The sequence below is a fragment of the Homo sapiens genome, chromosome 6 (genome assembly GCF_000001405.40).
Source record: "Homo sapiens chromosome 6, GRCh38.p14 Primary Assembly".
NCBI lineage: Eukaryota > Metazoa > Chordata > Mammalia > Primates > Hominidae > Homo > Homo sapiens.
The window spans coordinates 43,704,548-43,720,019 of NC_000006.12; the positions used below are offsets into that span (position 1 = coordinate 43,704,548).

The 15,472-nt window shown below is 50.8% G+C and overlaps 1 pseudogene, besides 1 other annotated feature; it reads right to left on the minus strand.

Annotated features, from left to right (window-relative positions):
- EXOSC8P1 (EXOSC8 pseudogene 1) lies at window positions 1,309-2,210 on the minus strand (annotated as a pseudogene).
- Window positions 2,607-3,449: an enhancer, noted in NCBI's record as "NANOG-H3K4me1 hESC enhancer chr6:43674891-43675733 (GRCh37/hg19 assembly coordinates)". NCBI's record gives its function as "activates a minimal SCP1, AML or CMV promoter by ChIP-STARR-seq in naive and primed H9 embryonic stem cells {active_cell/tissue: H9 hESC(naive and primed)}" and the evidence as "EXISTENCE:reporter gene assay evidence [ECO:0000049][PMID:30033119]".

Here is a 15,472-nt window from a genome sequence, read left to right on the forward strand (position 1 = left end):
GTGGCATGATCTCGGCTCACTCCAACCTCTGCCTCCCGGGTTCAAGCGATTCTCCTGCTTCAGCCTCCTGAGTAGCTGGGATTACAGGCACGCACCACCACGCCCGGCTAATTTTTGTGTTTTTAGTAGAGGCAGGGTTTCACTATGTTGGTCAGGCTGGTCTCGAACTCCTGACCTCGTGATCCGCCCACCTCGGCCTCCCAAAGTGCTGGGATTACAGGCGTGAGCCACCGCACCCGGCCTTTTAAAATTTTAAGAGTGTGAAAGTATATATAATGAAAAGTCTCCCTCCCCTTCTCCCCTCACCAGATTCTTATGTGGTTTCCCAGAGATATTCTAGGTATACGCAGCAAATGTATATCAACATGTTTTCACTTCCCCCACTCCCACACCCTCCCCCTTTCTTTGGTAAATATGCCATTCACAGTATTCTGCACCTAGCTTTGTATTTACTCAGCATTTGCTTAGCACTGTATTTACTTAGTGAGCATACCATGAGCAGCAAGAGCTTCCTCGTTATTTTTTCTGTTTTTTTTTTGTTTAGTTTTGTTTTGTTTTCTTTTTCTTTTTTTGAGATGGATTCTCGCTCTGTCATCCAGGCTGGAGTACAATGGCATGATCTCAGCTCACTGCAAGCTTTTCCGCCTCCCGGGTTCAAGTAATTCTCCTGCCTCAGCCTCTTGAGTAGCTGGGATTACAGGCACACTACCACCACGCCTGGCTAATTTTTGTACTTTTAGTAGAGACGAGGTTTCGCCATGTTGGCCAGATTGGTCTCAAACTCCTGACCGCAGGTGATCTGCCTGCCTCGGCATCCCAAAGTGCTGGGATTACAGGCATGAGCCACTGCACCCGGCCTCTGTTTTTGTTTTTTAATGTGTCAGTATTTTACACTGCTAAATGTACACACTTTATAGAGAAGCACAATCCTATGGTTTTTAAATAATAACAGGGAAATGGTTTAACATACTAGGGTTGGTTTGCCTAAGCCATTGCTCTCCAGCCTGGGTGACAGAGCGAGACCCTGCCTCAGAAAGAAAAGGAAAAAAAAAATGGTTTCACTGTACATAATATATGTGTGAAGTGACCATAAACACTAGAAACATCTAGAAATACTAGAACTATATTTCAGAAGAATGTAGTTTGATATTTATTGAGTATAAAATTTTCTTTTTTTTTTTTTTTGAGACAGTGTCTGAGTGCAGATCTTGGCTTACTGCAACCTCTGCCTCCTGGGCTCAGGCAACCCTTCCGCCCCAGCCTCCTGAGTAGCTGGGACTACAGGCGTGCACTATCACGCCCAGCTAATAGTATAAAAGTTTTGTGCACAGTGTAACAAATACAATTTTTACAAATCTGCTTTGAAAATGTGGTGGTCATTTCTTCGGGTTTCATACTATTTACTTCATCCATTGCATTTTAAATAGCTTTGTGTCTTGTAACAGCTCGGTTCATCTAGTCCTGGAGTCTAGCTCCAGTCAGCCCACTTTTACCTGCTTGGTGAGGACACCAGAGCCTGCTTCCTCTTCCATTACTGTTATTAAGATTCCAGTTGCCAGATGTTCCTCCTCTCCAGTCAGGTCAGCTATGAGCAAAGTGTCATCAAACACGGCAAAGGAAGTTGCAGCTGGGTAAGTTCTAGTATTCAAATAACTTCTCTTCTTAACTTCTGCTAAAATAGTCTCTTTCTAGCAACTTCAGGCAACTGTACATTTTAAAAAGCTGCTTACAAAGCAAATGTGCAGGCATCCAAAATGCTTCCATAATAGGCAAATGAGAGAGGCGAATGAGATCATAGCATAGAATTCAAGCACGCTTTCCTGGAGAAATGCATAAATTCCTTTTCTGAATTATCTGTGAATTTTCAGTGATATCTTCAGTGATCTGGCTAGTGGCTTGGATCTCTTCTCCAGGAGGTCCAGACTGAAATCTCAGTGGAACACAAGGGTGGCAGAGCCCCAGTGGGAGCCACAGATCCTTTATGGAAGCATCTGTGGATGGTGCTGCAAACTCTGCTTTAACCTTACACATTACTGTAGTATTTCCCAGCTTCACTAAAGGAGAACCGACTGCAGTACTAATTGAACCTGTGTTGACAGTTGTGGTTCTGAATTCACCAAGTTCTCTTTCATCAGCAAGGCAGATCTCTTTCAGAAATCTCCTGTAATTACCAGAGGTTCCGTGGTTTTGAACCCAGCTACCATCTTCCCAGTGCCAACTGTCCCCTCATTATTGTGATTTTTTACAGCTGCACGGTGTTCCACTATGTAGACGTACCAGGGTTTATTTACCCGGACTCCTGTTGTTTCACCTTGGTGTTGAACTTGCTTCCTGCTCTGTGCTGCGGTTTCCCACCATACAGTGAACCTTCAGGAAAGTCTGACGCATAGATGTGGGCTTAGGGGCAGATTGCCATAAAGCAGAGGGCTTCCGTGAGGAAAGGCTTGGGAGAACCCCCAGGTTTAGCCCTCAGAAGCGCTGAGAAGGGCTTGGCACCTTCCACAGTCTATGGGTGGGGGCACCAGCCTTCCTACTGGGTGTTACAGGAAAGGGTAAGTCAAGGAGGCCCAAGGTCAAGAAGTCATCCAGATTGGAGATGCCCGGGTTGCTCAAATAATGGCAACATGTGGTGCCTAATTAGAAATTCAGACAAAGATAATAGTACAGGCAGAATTCAAGGTCATAGAATGCCACAGCCGGAAGGGGCCTCAGAGACCACTGAGTACTCCTCCTTAGAGTCATAATAATACAGAGTTAAAATTTATTGAGCCTTGCATGCTCTGTAGCATTCCAAGTGCTTTTTATCTATTAACTCATTTAATCCTCACACTATTTGAAGAAACCGAGATGCAAAGAAGATACAGCCAGGTTCACAAAGCCGGTACGCAAAGCGCTGGGACTGAAACCCCAGGAGCTTGTCTGGGGCCTATGCTCTTACCCTTCACGCATTCCACCTCTCTACACTGCTGAGGAGACTGAGCCCAGGGGGATGTCACTCAGCTCATTGGTGGCAGAGCCAGGGCTAGAACCCAGAAACCCTTTAGGTCCTCCCTCCAACACACTGCCTCAGTTTGCCTGATGGGCTCGGAGGGGCCACAGCGAGGCAGGGGCAGGAGTCAGCAGGGGTGTGGCTCTGGGGATGAAGAGAATGGCTGTGATTCCGCCAGAAGAGTGGTGGGGCAGCCTGGTGCCTGCAGACAGGCAGACCCTCTGATATTACAGGTGGGTCTGGGATGTGTCTTGCAGCCCCCTGATGTTGACTCTCTTAATACTCTCTCCAACTGTGGTTTGTCCCCTCGGTGGTGTTTCTGTGGCCTGAACTGGCTCCTTGCCCTGTCTCCAGGCCCATTAGTTCCTCTCTCCCCACCTGTCATCAGCAGCATCACTTTACCAGATAAGCAGGGCCCACCCACAGTGTTTTTGGGGCAGCAGGGAGAGCATTTACTCAAGAAACACAAAGAAACCACATGCAGGGTAGAACTGTGTACACAATGAGGACTCCATAAATGCTCTCAGCATCTCCTGCTGAGGTGTAATGATAGAGACTTGGTAGTGATGGCTTCAGGACTTTCTGACCTCATCCAAGGATGGGGCACTTTCAACTACTCTTGCTGCAGGTCTGATCACCCCGTGGGTCTGTCTCAGACCCAGAGGCCACACCCACTGCACAGGTAAAGACCCAGGGATGGAGCAGGGTGGCAGCTCCTCCCTTCCTGCCTGGGCGCTCACCAGACTTTATTTATTTATTTATTTTGAGACGGAGTCTTGCTCTTGTCCCACAGGCTGGAGTGCAATGGCGCGATCTTGGCTCACTGCAACCTCTGCCTCCCGGGTTCAAATGGTTCTCCTGCCTCAGCCTCCCGAGTAGCTGGGATTACAGGTGCCCGCCACCATGCCCAGCTAAATTTTGTATTTTTAGTAGAGACAGGGTTTCATCATGTTGGCCAGGCTGGTCTCAAACTCCTGACCTCAGGAGATCCACCCGCCTCGGCCTCCCAAAGTGCTGGGATTACAGGCGTGAGCCACCATGCCTGCTTTATTTATTTATTTATTTATTTATTTATTTTTTGACACAGAGTCTTGCTCTGTGGCCGAGGCTGGAGTGCAGTGGTGTGATCTCGGCTTACTGCAATTTCTGCCTCCCAGGTTCAAGCGATTCTCCTGCCTCAGCCTCCTGAGCAGCTGGGACTATAGGCATGCACTACCACACCCTGCTAATATTTGTATTTTTGTAGAGATGAGGTTTTTTCATTTTGGCCAAGCTGGTCTTGAACTCCTGACCTCAGGTGATCTGCCCACCTCGGCCTCCCAAAGTGCTGGGATTACCACTGTGCGTGGCCACTTCCCACACTCTTTACTGCCCATAGCTCTGCATGGCTCTGCTCATATTGGGCTGGCCTGGGGGCTGTGGGCAATTCTAGGTCATCTCAGTCCTTTTGGCACAGGGCCTGGCATGCAGTAGGCACCCATCAAGTTTGTGGGACCAATGAGTGAGGCCACCAGCCTACCATTCTGTGTCTTGGATGAAAGCTACATCATCCTCTATTCTCTGTCTGGCCCTCACCCAAGTCTCCCTCCTCCCCCTCCTCCCCCTCCTTCCCCTCTTCCCCCTCTCCTTCCTGACTCCCAAAGGAACTTGTAGTTTATCCAGCCTGTCTTTTTTAGTTTTAAACAGCTTTATTGAGATATAATTCACATATCTCCCAACTCACCCACTGAAAGTGTACAATTCAGTGGTTTCAGTGTATTCACAGACTTGTGCAACTGCCACACAATCCGTTTTAGAGCGTTTTCCTTACCAGCCCATCTTTTGGCAGCACCCATTCTGCTCAGCTTTCAAACACCCACAGGTCTCCTCAACTTAGAAAGAGCCTCCCTTGACCCTGGTCTGCACTTTCTGGACATTGTGCAATATGTTTCCCTCCTTCCGTGACTAAACCACTTGAATGAGTGGTTCACACCCACTGCCTTCATTTTCTCAGAATCAGTAAACATTAGGAAAAGAATGTCTATGAGGTACGATGCAAGAGCTTTTCATATATATCATCTCATTTAATCCTCTAAACACTCTGTGAGCTGGGGATTATTTTCACTCTTTTAGAGGTGAGAAATCCAAGGCCAAGAGAAAGTGACTGGCCCAAAAGACTTGGCCAGGATTTGAACCCAGGTCTATGTGAGTCCAGAGCCAGTGCTTGCTACACTGCCTGTTGTCCCTGTGGCCAGTACAGCTGCGAGGTCCAGCTGTTGACCTTCACACTTGTCACTTGCAGGTGCTCCTTGCATCCCATCACCCTTCAAATGACCTTCCTGTTCCAACAAGATTGGTGCCCTTCATGCTGGGTTCATTCTCTCCAAGCCTTTGTTCAAGCCGGTCCTTCCACCTGGCGCCCTTTTCCTTCCTCTTTTCTACCTTGGAATATCTGAAAATTCCCTTAAAAAAAAAAAAAAGGTCTGGCTCAGATCTCCGTACTTTCTCCACAAGAGCTCCCTGTATCTTTGACTCAGCCTGCCTGCTCTCTGGGCCTAAAGCTCGCTCTGTTCCTTATCTAACAGCTTGGTTTTGTTATTGAAATCAAGGCTGCAGTTTTTAATCCCCTTGGACTCTGGAACCACATTGGTACCTTTTTTTTTTTTTTTTGAGATGGAGTTTCACTTTTGTTGCCCAGGCTGGAGTGCAGTGGTGTGATCTTGGCTCACTGCAACCCCCGCCTCCCAGGTTCTAAATGACTCTCCCGCCCCAGCCTCCCAAGTAGCTGGGATTACAAGTACCCACCACCATGCCCGGCTAATTTTTGTATATTTAGTAGAGACAGGGTTTCACCATGTTGGCCAGGCTGGTCTCAAACTCCTGACCTCAGGTGATCTGCCTGCCTTGGCCTCCCAAAGTGCTGGGATCACAGGCATGAGCCATCTCACCCGGCCATATTGGTACCTTATAACCTCCACCTTGCTGGGCTGTGAATGGAGCGGGTGTCCAGTAAGTTTTCTGAAAGAAAAGAAGAAAGGAGAGAAGAAATGGAGGGAGGGAGGAAGGGAGGGTGGAAGGAAAGGAGGAGGAAGGCAGGGAGACTAATGTCTGCGAGGTGATGGTGAGGGTCCCAGGAGATATGGCTGTGAAGGCGTTTTCAAATATGAAACCATTTTAAGGGCAAGGCAAAAATGATCTCTCAGCAAGGGGCCTCCCATATGCTGTGTGCTCAATGATGACTGCATTAAGTTGGCTGGCCCCTCATCCCTTGCTGGAGGTGGTGCTTGTGTCTTCTTTTGGCTGACGAGTCTCGGGAGAAGGGACCACATCTACTCCTAATCATTCTTCTGGGCTCAGTACAGGGCCTGACACAGAAGAGAGCCCTCCAAAAATGTTTAGTGAAAGAACAAATTCACTTGTGCTTTCCCAAATGCATCCTCAGGATACATACCAGCTCAGTTGCCTCATTCTTTCAAAAAATGTTTATTAAACACCTACTATGTGTCAAGCATAATTCCAGGTATTTGGGATACCACAATGAACAACACAGATTTGCCTGCCCACATAGATTTGACATTCTAGTGGGTGAGAGAGGAGATAAAGAGGAACGCATAAAAATAAGTAAATTATAGGGCATATTAGAGGCTGATAAAGGCTTTGGAAAATAAGAGTTGACTAAGATAAGGAGAGAAGACAGAGTGTCAAGGGAAGTGTGGTTACAGAAATAAATAGTTTGGTAAGGGTAGAGAGATTTAGGATCAAAAGCTAAAGGGATATGAGGGAGTGAGCCATGATGATATTTGGGGGAAGAGCGTTCAAGGCAAAGAAAACAGCTGGAGCAAAGGCCGTGAGGCAGGAGCGTGCCTTGAGGGTTTGAGGCCAGTGTGGCTGGAGCAGAGGGACCGAGGAGAGTAGGGGGTGGAGAGGAAGGGGGCTGAGGTCAGATGGTGTGGTTCTGAAGGCCATTGTGAGGTCCTGGCTTTTCCTGTGAGTGGGAAGGGAGTCACTGGGGTGGGTTGGGCAGAGGAGGGATGTGGTTGGCTTAAAAAGAGTCAAATAGAACTCTGGTTACTAAGTGGAGAGTAGACTGTAGGGTCCCAGGGCAGGAGGGAAACCTGCAGGAAGACTGAAGTAGTCCAGGAGAGAGGGGCTGGGAGCTTGGTGCAAGCGGTGGAGGTGGCTGGGAGTGGTGGGTCCTGAATATATTTCAAGGGTCGAGCCAACAAGATTTCTTGATGGTTGAAGGTGAGAGGGAGAGGTGTCAAAGGTGGATCCAAGATTGCTGGCCCGAGCTGTTGGAAGGATAGAGTTGCTATTAGTGGAGATAGGGAAGCTGTGGATGAAGCACGTTTGAAGGAAAAGATCAGAGGTTTGGTTTTGGCCATGTTGAGTCTGAGATGGGCTGGTGGGCTGATGCCTAGATGGCTGACTATTCAAGTCTGGAATCCTTTGATCTGGGTGAACTTACCACTTGAGCAGGGCTGCTGCTGTGCCCTTCCCAAGGCAGGTGGGTGCTGTTCCCATGGACTAGGACTGGGCAGGATTTGGGGTGGGACTGCTTCTGAGGCTTGGTGTCCTCATTTGTAAGATTGACATAATAATACTCATTTTGGGGTTACTCTGTGTGTGTGTGTGTGTGTGTGTGTGTGTGTGTGTGTTTGTGTGTGTGTATAGTGTTCAATGAGATAGTAGAGGCTGGACAGGTGGCTCATGCCTGTAGTCCCAGCACTTTGGGAGGCTGAGGCAGGCAGATCACCTGAGGTCAGAAGTTTGAGACCAGCCTGACCAACATGGCGAAATCCCATCTCTACTACAAATACAAAAATTAGCTGGGCATTGTGGCACACGCCTGTAATCCCAGCTACTCAGGGGGCTGAGGCAGGAGGATCACTTGAAACTGGGAGGTGGAGGCTGTAGTGAGCTGAGATTGCACCGTTGCGCCCCAGCCTGGGTGACAGAGCAAGACTCTGTCTCAAAAAAACAAAAAACAACAACAAAAACAAACAAACAAACAAAAGAGATAGTAGACAGTGCCTAGCACGGAAGAAGCACTCAGTGAACAGTGGTTAAATAACGGCAAAGAACTAACCTGGATTGGCTCCTGCAGATCAGTCATCAAATGGGTTAAGCGGGTGTGGATTCGAGGAAAAGCTAAGAATGGAGGCTAGGAGCATGTGGGATGTGATTTCATTGCTCCAGAGGGACTAGAGCTTGTCGGGCAACAGGAAGGGGAATGACTTGTGAAAGGGGGTGTAGGGGCCACCCAATTGCAGGTGACGGAACAGCCCCTTGGGTTAGGGCTCAGCAGCTGTTCTCTGTGTCCCAGCCAGGATAATGAGGGGGAGGCTGTCTGGTTGCCTGGGGACACAGGCCCTTTGCGCAGTAGCACCAGTAGGAGATACTAACCAGTTCTTCATTTATTAAAATTCTTCAAGTATTAAAGTCTTCTAAGGGGAAAATCCAGGATTTCCTCAGCTTTTCTCTCAGGCCCAGTCCATGGCTTGGTGTGCAGCAAGTCTTTAATAAATGTTAGCATCGGCCAGGTGCCATGGCTCACGCCTATAATCCCAGCACTTTGGGAGGTTGGGGTGGGTGGATCACCTGAGGTCAGGAGTTCAAGACCAGCCTGGCCAACGTGGTGGAACCCCATCTCTACTAAAAATACAAAAATTGGCCGGGCGCGGTGGCTCACGCCTGTAATCCCAGCACTTTGGGAGGCCGAGGCGGGTGGATCATGAGGTCAGGAGATCGAGACCATCCTGGCTAACAAGGTGAAACCCCGTCTCTACTAAAAATACAAAAAATTAGCTGGGCGCGGTGGCGGGCGCCTGTAGTCCCAGCTACTCGGAGGCTGAGGCAGGAGAATGGCGTGAACCTGGGAAGCGGAGCTTGCAGTGAGCCGAGATTGCGCCACTGCAGTCCGCAGTCTGGCCTGGGCGACAGAGCGAGACTCCGTCTCAAAAAAAAAAAAAAAAAAATTAGCTGGATGTGGTGGTGGGTGCCTGCAATCCCAGCTATTCGGGAGGCTGAGGCAGGAGAATCACTTGAACCCGGGAGGCGGAGGTTGCAGTGAGCCAAGATTATACCCCAGCACTCCAGCCTAGGCAACAAGAATGAAACTTCACCTCAAAAAAAAAAAAAAAAAAAAGTCAGGTGTGGTGGCATGCACCTGTAATCCCAGCTACTTGGGAGGCTGAGATGGGAGGATTGTTTGAGCCCAGGAGGTGAAGTTTGCATGCAGTGAGCAGATTGCACCACTGCACTCCAGCCTTGGTGACAGAGTGACATCCTGTCTCAAATCTGAAAAACAAAAAAAAAGTTAGCATCTGTTCTTCCCTCTCGATATACAAAATTGTGGTTAGATCTTATTTTCAAGAATTGCTATGAAGATTACGCGCAGTAGTATATAAGGAGGCATTTTTGCAGCAGCGACATTTAACCCCCAGGATAACTGAGTTCAGAGATGTCAGATAACCTCCTGAATGACACAGGTACTACGGGGTGGAGGGAGGTTTGGGACAATTGGAGCCAGTGGGAGCTGTCAGTGCCGGCGGTGGGGGTCTTCAGCAAGTTTAGAAAGTGAGGAGGGCAGCGCTGGGCAGAGAGGAGGGCAAGTCAAGTCTCTAGGCAGGGCATGGCTTTGACGGCAGGCCTCACAGTAAGATGGGTGTGCTGGATTCAGGATCTAGACGGTGAGATCCCAGAAAGTGAGGCAGGTAGTGGAACCAAGGGAAGACCTCTCTCGAAGCTTCTTGCCGCTCTTAGAGATGAGGGAGCGAATGTTTTTGGGCATGGACCAGACTGTATCTCCCAGAACTCTCTTGGCAGCCTTGCCAGAGGGGTGCTGTTCTCCCATTGCACAAATGAGGCTGCTTAGGCCTGGAGAGGGTAAGGACCTTGCTCAAGGTTGTACAGACTGACAGCGACGGAGTCAGGATTGTGACCCAGCTTTGCTCAACTACAAAGACTGCCCTCTTTCCACTACACCATGAGGTCACCGTGACCCCCAGGAAACAGGGGGATGGACAATATCAGATGACCTTTTAAAGATCTTTGCCAGCAGAAACATTTTCTCAGTCTCTGCTCCTTGGTCTCCCTCCACACTCACCCCTGCCTCCTCCCGCTCTCTTCCCTCCTCATTACTCAACCAGGAGTAACCCCACTGGCTATCTATCTGTGGGTTGGGGGAGGAGACCAGCAGCTGTAGTTACTCAGATTAACCCTCTGCTGCCTGCCCACCTCCCCTCCACCCCATGGATGTGTTGGTGAGGAACCCCCCTCCCCGCTCCCCTGCAGGCAGCCACTGGCTGAGGGGCACTTCCCAGAATTAGCCACTGTGAACAGCTGGCTGGGGGGCGGGGTTGAGGGGGTAGGTGGTAGAAAGGAGGCTAATAGCTTCCAGATGTGCCAAGGCACGAGAGCCTTGGGAGCTTCAGTTTCAGTGGTCTCCTGTGACTGGGATGGGTTGGCCCTCGTGTCCAGGACTCCAGAATTACTAAGGCAGCCAGGCAGATCCCGACTTTCAAGCTGCATGCAAATCTGTGTGCAGGGTAAGGTTGACCTCCAAGCTGCACCTGCAGGGGCCCCGGGAAAACCCCTGCAGCCCAGCTGCTCTCTGTGGTATTAATACTAACACCATCTACCATGTCTACACTGCCAGTAGCATAGGCAACAGAGCATGGTAGTTTCGAGTGCAGGGTTTGGATTCACAGCGCTTAGAATCAAATCTCAGCTCAATCTCTCAACCAGTTCTGGGACCCAAAGCAAACTGCTCAGCTTCCTTAGCCATGAAATAGTTTCTATTTCATAAAGTTATTATTAGTATTAAATGAGATAATCTATGCAAAGTGCTTAATGCAGTGCCTGGCACATAGGAAGTTGTTGTCATTTAGAGAATACCTACCTTATTTCAGAGGCTATGCAATTTTATCCTTGCAACCCTGGAAGTTAGCTATGAGTAGTCTTACTTTTATGAGGCTATATCAAGGCTCAGAGAGGCTAAGTTACCTGTCCAGGATCACACAGGTGTCAAGTGCAGGGTTGCAACTTGAACCCAGGCCAAATGAACCCTAAAGCCCAGGCTCATTATCCTGTGCCCCTCCCTGTGTGTGTGTGTGTGTGTGTGTGCGTGTGTGCGCATGTGTTTTACATTTTCCCATCAGTAGAAAGAGGTTGTAGGACCTGCTAGGGGCTGAGGGCATCATTTTCTGTCCTGCTTACTGAAGAGAGGCCTGACCCAGAAAAGTAGGCAACAGCTTGGGGGTTCAGAGGGGCCCTGGAAGAAGGCAAGTGCCCTGGAGGGGACACCAGGGACAGGAAATTTCAGGAACATGGAAGGAGCAGAGGACAGAATATCAGAGGTTGGGAGAAGTCCAGGTTGTCCTAGGGTGCCCTCAAAGAGTATCCAGAGCCCCCATGAGCGGATCCTCAGGAGCCACTGACTGCCCTTTCCCTGGGTGTGTTTCTTGCTTTGCCAGTTGCTGCTCCTCTTCTGCACGTCTTCTCCTTGGCTAGTGCAGGGTGGTGGAGGGTCTCCAGAATTCCCCTTTACAGGATGGGGAGGACGGGAGACCAGGGAGGAGGAGAACCAAGAGCGAAGGGGCTGGAGCCAGCCAGCAGGGAGGCCCGCCATTGGCCCAGCTCCCAGGGCCTGGGCCTGAGGACTACGGAGCTGCCTGCCCCTCACCATTCCCTCCCACTGCCCCCTAGGGCTCCTTGGCTGCTGAGCCTGCCAGATGGGCCCCCGCCAAGCCAAACAGCTGCCAGGGGGAGAGGAAGAAGCATTTCCGAGCAGAGAGGCCCCTGTAGGCTCCTGCTGAAGCCTAGAATCCCCCTTTCTCACCGCCAAGTGAAGGGGGAATCTGTGCACATGCACATAGGCATGCACGCATGGCACTGGGGAGCCCAGGCGCAGGGCCACGGGACCTGGGACATGCAGGGGCAGAGGGGTGGGGGTCTGGAAGCAGGCTTGGGCAGGGACCATGGCTGTGCCAGGTAATAGGGAGTCTGGGGAATTAAGCTTGGCTCACTCTGAGGTTGGGGAATGTAGTGGATTGAATAGAGACCCCCAAAGTTTATGCCCACCTGGAACCTGAGCATGGGACCTTATTTGGAGATAGGATCTTTGCAGAGGTAATGAAGGTGAGGATTGAGATGCGATCACGCTGGATTAGTGTGGGCCCCAAATCCAGTGAAAGCGTCCTCCTAAGAAACAAGTAAAAACACTGAGAGACGTGGTGGGGACAGCCGTGTGAAGACGCATGTGAAGGTGGTGTCAGAGACTGGAGCCCACAGCCAAGGAATGCTTTGAGCCACCAGAAGCTGGACAGGAACTTGGCCCTGCTGGCATCTCAATTTCAGACTTCTGGCCTCCAGAACTGTGAGAAAATAAATTTCTGTTGTTCTAAGCCACCAAGTTTGTGGTCATTTGTTTCGGCAGCTCTAGAAAATGAAGACAGGGAGGCATATGGAGGAGGGTTGGGGTGGGGGGAGTGGGTAGGTGGAGGCTTCATAAGAAAGCCTTGGAAAACAGGATACAAAATATTGACCATTTATCTTGCCACTATTCTGTGCCAGGCACTTTTAAAGATATTTATCTCTATCCTCACAATGACCCTGCCACAGAGAATTATGGTTTCCATTTTACAGTGAGGTTCAGACCCAAGTGAACTCCATTTAGTTAGGATTCCAACCCAGGATCCTCTGTCTCCCAAGCCTGGCCTCTGTCCACCTTCTTTCAAGGGTGGCCCCAGTAGATTCCAGGGCAGATGACACTTGCTTTCAAGTTGGAGGGGTCTCCAGGAGTCTGAGAGGGGAACATAATGATGCTCTACTGGGAAACAGGGGAAGAGGCCATTACTGCTCTGGGGGCCTGCTGTGCTGGATGCCCTAGAAAATCTCGACTCACCACGATGTTCCTGTAGGCCTCAGTGACATGGCCAACGGTTTCTTCATGGTCCTGTACCCTACAGAGGGAGGCATCCCTACTCACCTCATTCCCACTATGACAATCACATCACTCCCTCCACCACCATCGCTGTCTCCATCATTGCCACCTCCATCACCACCGCCATCACCTTCACCATCATCCCCTTCACTGTTACCATCACCACCCTGAAACTGCTATAATGGCTGTCACGACCAGTACTTCTGTGTCCATGTCACCATCTCCATCACAACCCCTCTACCCCCACTACCATCACTGCAAAATGGTGGAGAGGTGAGAGGCCGGTAAGTCACTCAGGGAAGGACAGGACAGCCGAGCAGGATTTAGCAGGGGAGGAGGAGGAGGTGGGATGTGTCTGGCTGACAGACAGGGTCCATAGTGAAGGACTGCCCTAGGTTCAGCCTTGTTGAGAGGGAGGTGAGTCTGCCTGGCTGGAGTAAACACTTGGTAGGACAGGCTGTCTTCGCGGGCGTTGGTTTGGGTGGGTGGAGGCTATTCTAGCAACACATCCTGCCCCTGCCTGGCTCACGATGGTCTCTGGGGGATGTGGATTTTGGCGGGTCCCTGGCTCGTGGCCACCTGCCTGGCCTGGCCTGGCCGTAGCAGTGAGGTCATGAGAGTGGCTGTACTGGGAGTACTGGGGAGTGGGGTGGAAAGGAGGGGCGCGCCCTGGCTGGGAGAGGAAGGCCTCTCTCCCCTGGCTGACTCTACCCATAACGATCATAACGATGAAGTAAGCACGAGCCTGGACACTCCATCTCCCCAGACTGCCCTCCCTCCGGCCTGCCCAGCTTGCCCCGGGCCTGGGTTCTGGGCGCTGCAGGCTCTCTCTGCCAAGGGCTCTGGGTTTCCCATTCCCTGGTGACATCTTGATAGTTGGATCAGCCACCTGAGGGAATACAGGGGCCAGAGGCTCTGATCTGGGTGTAGGGAGAGAATTGACTGTGGAGAAGGGCGTACTATTTCTCCACACTTCCTCCTTGTTAGACTCAATATGCCTGTGTGTGGTGTAGGGAGATGGTGGCAGAATGTTCCAGAGACTCGGGCCCCAGCCGCTCCCCTCACCTCTTCCCTGCACACCTGGCCACCTCCACTGCCTTTAGAGACTGGGGACCGGCCAGCTCTGGGAACAGCCTCTCTCAACCCTTCCAAGCCCTGAAACTGCCCAAATGCCCAGCTAATCCCACCCTCTAAGATCTCACTTGAGAGCTGTGGGAAATGGGAAACAATACTATCGTGGGATGTGTTTATCTCTGCATCAGGCGTGAGAGCCCGGCAGACAGGCTGGCGACTGGAGGGGCCAAGCGGCCACTGAGTCCCTGAGACAGGAGATCGGAGGGTGGAGTCAGTGAGAGCACTGGGGAAGGGCCCCGGCTTCCACCCACATCCTGGGAAATGGCTGTGGCTGAGCCACCTCTCACTACAATCATTCCTGGGGGAAGGCCTTTTGCTGGCTTAGGAAAGACTTTGGACTTCGACAGGACACGGAGACCTTTTGAGGACCATAAGATAGTGACAGCTAGTGTTCACTGAGCATTTACTGCATATGGAGCCCTGTCCAGGCACTTTATATGTGTCCACTCATTTAGTCCTCCCAATATCACTATGAGGTTATTACAATTACTGTTATATGTATTTCACAGTTAAGGAAACGGAGGCGCAGACAGCTAAAGACATTTGCTGAAGGTTAGAATGATGGAAGGTGGAGCTAGAATTTGTGTCCAGCTCTTCTGGCTTCAGAGCTCATGCTCTTTACTCTGGGGTGGAGTGGGGTGGATTTTTTGAGTTCCCACTCCAAACCTACCCACCCCTTCTTCTCCAGGGTCCCTACCTGGTATGGCAAACAGCACAGAAATGGGAGCCAGGAGCCTTGGGTCCTTGTGCCTCTAACCTTGCTCTGTGGCTGAGGGCAAATTCTTGCTCTCTCCAGCCTCAGTTTCCCCATCTGCCCACTGTGCCAGCATTGGACTCATCCAGGGATCCCTGAAAGCCCTCCCGGCCTGATATCTGGAGCTGAACTACCCCAGCTTGGAGCTGTTCCTGTTTGTGGGGCCAGCCTGGGCCCTGGGAATGGTGGGGAGATGGGAGTTGGAGGGTGGAACCCAATGGCCTGGAGGACCCCTGGGTGTCCGGACAGCTCTCACATGGCCCCATGGCAGCCACCTCTTTGACTGTGCTCCATCAAGAGGAGCGGCAGGAGCACAGATCAGAGACAATAGCCAAACATGCTCACCCACCCACAGATCCCTGCCTGGCAGTGGGGCGGGGAGAGGGTCTGCCGGGATCCAGTTCCCACCAACCCCGGACTCCTCCGGCATCTCCTGACTGGGCCCCTCCCCGCACAAGTGGTGATAGGAGTAGGCAGATCCTTACCCTCCTTTCAGAGCACCCAGTGGGCAGCAAGCATCTCTGATTATCCTCCTCACCCCATGCAGCCCTTTCTTCCTCTCCTAGCCATACCTTAGATGGCCTTGCTTTTTATCCAGCCACATTTTCTGAGCCTACTATGTGCCAGGCACTGTGCCAGGTGTAGGAAGACAGGGATGGAAAAAGCTTGA